General features: G+C 49.1%; 1 annotated feature.

Moving 5' to 3' along the window:
• Window positions 1,664-1,779: a transcriptional cis regulatory region, noted in NCBI's record as "candidate enhancer chr8.1253 targeted for multiplex CRISPR interference". NCBI's record gives its function as "positively regulates ASH2L and STAR gene expression with high confidence in K562 cells {active_cell/tissue: K562}" and the evidence as "EXISTENCE:mutant phenotype evidence [ECO:0000015][PMID:30612741]".

Below are 2,429 nucleotides of genomic sequence, written 5' to 3' on the forward strand. Positions count from 1 at the left end.
GGACATTCATCTTTCCAATGCCGTCTTTGCTTGCATCTCGCACATTGATCTCTCTCTAGTCTAGGCTGACCTTCCTGACCTGTCTTGGTCTCCTCACCTGGCCTAGCTTGTCCTCTACCACAACTGCATCTATGGCCACATCCACATCCTCTTGCAAATCCAGCCTCTCTTTCAACCAGGGCTGCAGCTAAGAACTCTGCCTTTTCCTTCACTCTATGCTTGGCCTCCTGCTTTACTTCTTCATCTCGATTTACAAACATGTTGCCACCTGGATAAGCTGGGAAATGTTCATACCTTCAAACCCCTCCAGCTTCTACAACTTTCGCTTAATGTCATTTTGTGCCTGACTCACAAATGCCGCATTAACCATGCACCGATTCCCTGCCGCTTCTGGGTCAAAAGGTGTGTAGTGCCGGTAAGCCTGTCTAAGCCTCCCATAGAACTCACTGGGGCTTTCATCTGGTTTCTGATAGACTTCTGAAACCTTTCCAGTGTTTGTTGCCTTCTTCCCTTCAGTCTTTATTCCTTGTATTAGAGCCTCTTGGTATCTCAGCAACTTCAGCAGATCTTGGGCCTGATTTGGGTCCCAGCCTGGGTCAGTTTCTATTGGCAAAGCCTGCCGAGCACACTGTCTGACATCTCCTGTACCTACTGGGGCATTTTTTTCTAGCCTCTGATGAGCCGCTTGTATTACTCTGCGGTGTTCTTCTGTATTGAACAGTGACAGAAGGAGCTGTTTGCAGTCAGCCCAGGTTGGGTTGTGAGTTAAGAAGATGGACTGCATTAGGTCGATAAGAGCCTGGGGTTTTTCCATATAGGAGAGAGTATGCTCTTCCAGTTGAAAATGTCTGTAGTAGAGAAGGGCTGATAAACATAAAGCCATTCTCCTCCTTGAACCTCATTTTGTGCATCTAAATAGATCTGTCGCCTAGTTTCTCTGACGGGCATCTGCATGTCTCGGCCGCGTCCTGACCGGAGATGGCCAACCTCATCCTGGATTTCCTCCTTTGATTTATCAGGCAGTGGCCCTGGCTCTTCCCTACATAGTGAAGTTTGGGGGGTACTCTTCTCTGAGTCTGACCCTCCGGAGACAGCTGCTGGAGTGTCTTCCTAAGTCTTGTCAGAGATAGGTAAATAGGAACATAAGGGGGTGGAGTCTCTAGCTCTTCTGGTGGGGCCTGTAGGACAGGTTTTTCCTGTTTTCCTTGCTACTGTTTCTCCTGGGACTGGTTTTTTGGGTCTTTTCTATGGTTCCTTGTTTTGTACAAGCCACTAGAGTCTTAAATAATTTTCAAAACAGGCCTGTAGCCATTTCGGATGGGTTTAAATCATGCTCAGCCAGGAGTCTGTGTATGGAAACTGATCAGGGTGCCCCGGCTGTTCTCCGATCCCAGTGACCACCTGAAACACTCAGCCAATTATTTCCCAATCTAAGGTTCCCTTGGCCAGCCACCCTACATTAAAGGAGAGCCAGTCAATTTCACAAAGGGTTCTTAGCCACTACGTTGTTAACTTCATTCCATAATCACCATAAAAGTCTTTCTTGAAGTTCTTCAATATACATTCTAATTGAGTTGGCTTCGATGCTTTTCCTCCCATTTCCTCCCTCACGGTGCACTTTCACTCTCACTTTCACTCTCGGATTCACCAGACTGGGTCCTATTACGGGAGGTTCGGACACTGCTTGGCCAGGTCACAGCCAACTACTGCTGTGAAGCTATGAAGCTAATCCTGTCAGCCTGACACAGTAACCTAGGTCTGGCTCATCCCACGCTTGCCTCGGAGCACACAGTCTGCGCTAAGAGATCTGCACCTCCCAGCTGGGCATGGTGGTTCATGCCTGTAATACCAGCACTTTGGGAGGCCGAGGCAGGCGGGTCACGAGGTCAGGAGATTGAGATCATCCTGGCTAACATGGTGAAACCCCGTCTCTACTAAAAATACAAAAACAAAATTAGCTGGGCGTGGTGGCGGGCGCCTGTAGTCCCAGCTACTTGGGAGGCTGAGGTGGAAGAATGGCATGAACCCAGGAGGTGGAGCTTGCAGTGAGCCAAGATCGCACCACTGCACTGCAGCCTGGGCAACACAGTGAGACTCCATCTCAAAAAAAAAAAAAAAAAAGAGATCTGCACCTCCCCATGTCACTCCCTGCATTGGCCTCTCCTGAGACCATCTCTTTCACACACTTTCACTCCTCATTGGATGAAACAAGCCTTTCTCATGTCCCAGGTAGGTTCACACGCACCCACCCACACACTCCCAGTTTCTGCTTCCAGATCCAGTGAACCACTTTCACTTGTTAGTGGGGACATGGGGTTCATCCAAATTGGCAGTCCACTCCTGCCACCCCCAGCCACTCTGGGTTGAATAAGTGGTTGTTCCCTGGGAGGTGATCAAGCTCCCCTTCTGTCCTTATGGGATGGGCTTTT

This window comes from Homo sapiens, chromosome 8 (assembly GCF_000001405.40).
Source record: "Homo sapiens chromosome 8, GRCh38.p14 Primary Assembly".
Classification (NCBI taxonomy): Eukaryota; Metazoa; Chordata; class Mammalia; order Primates; family Hominidae; genus Homo; species Homo sapiens.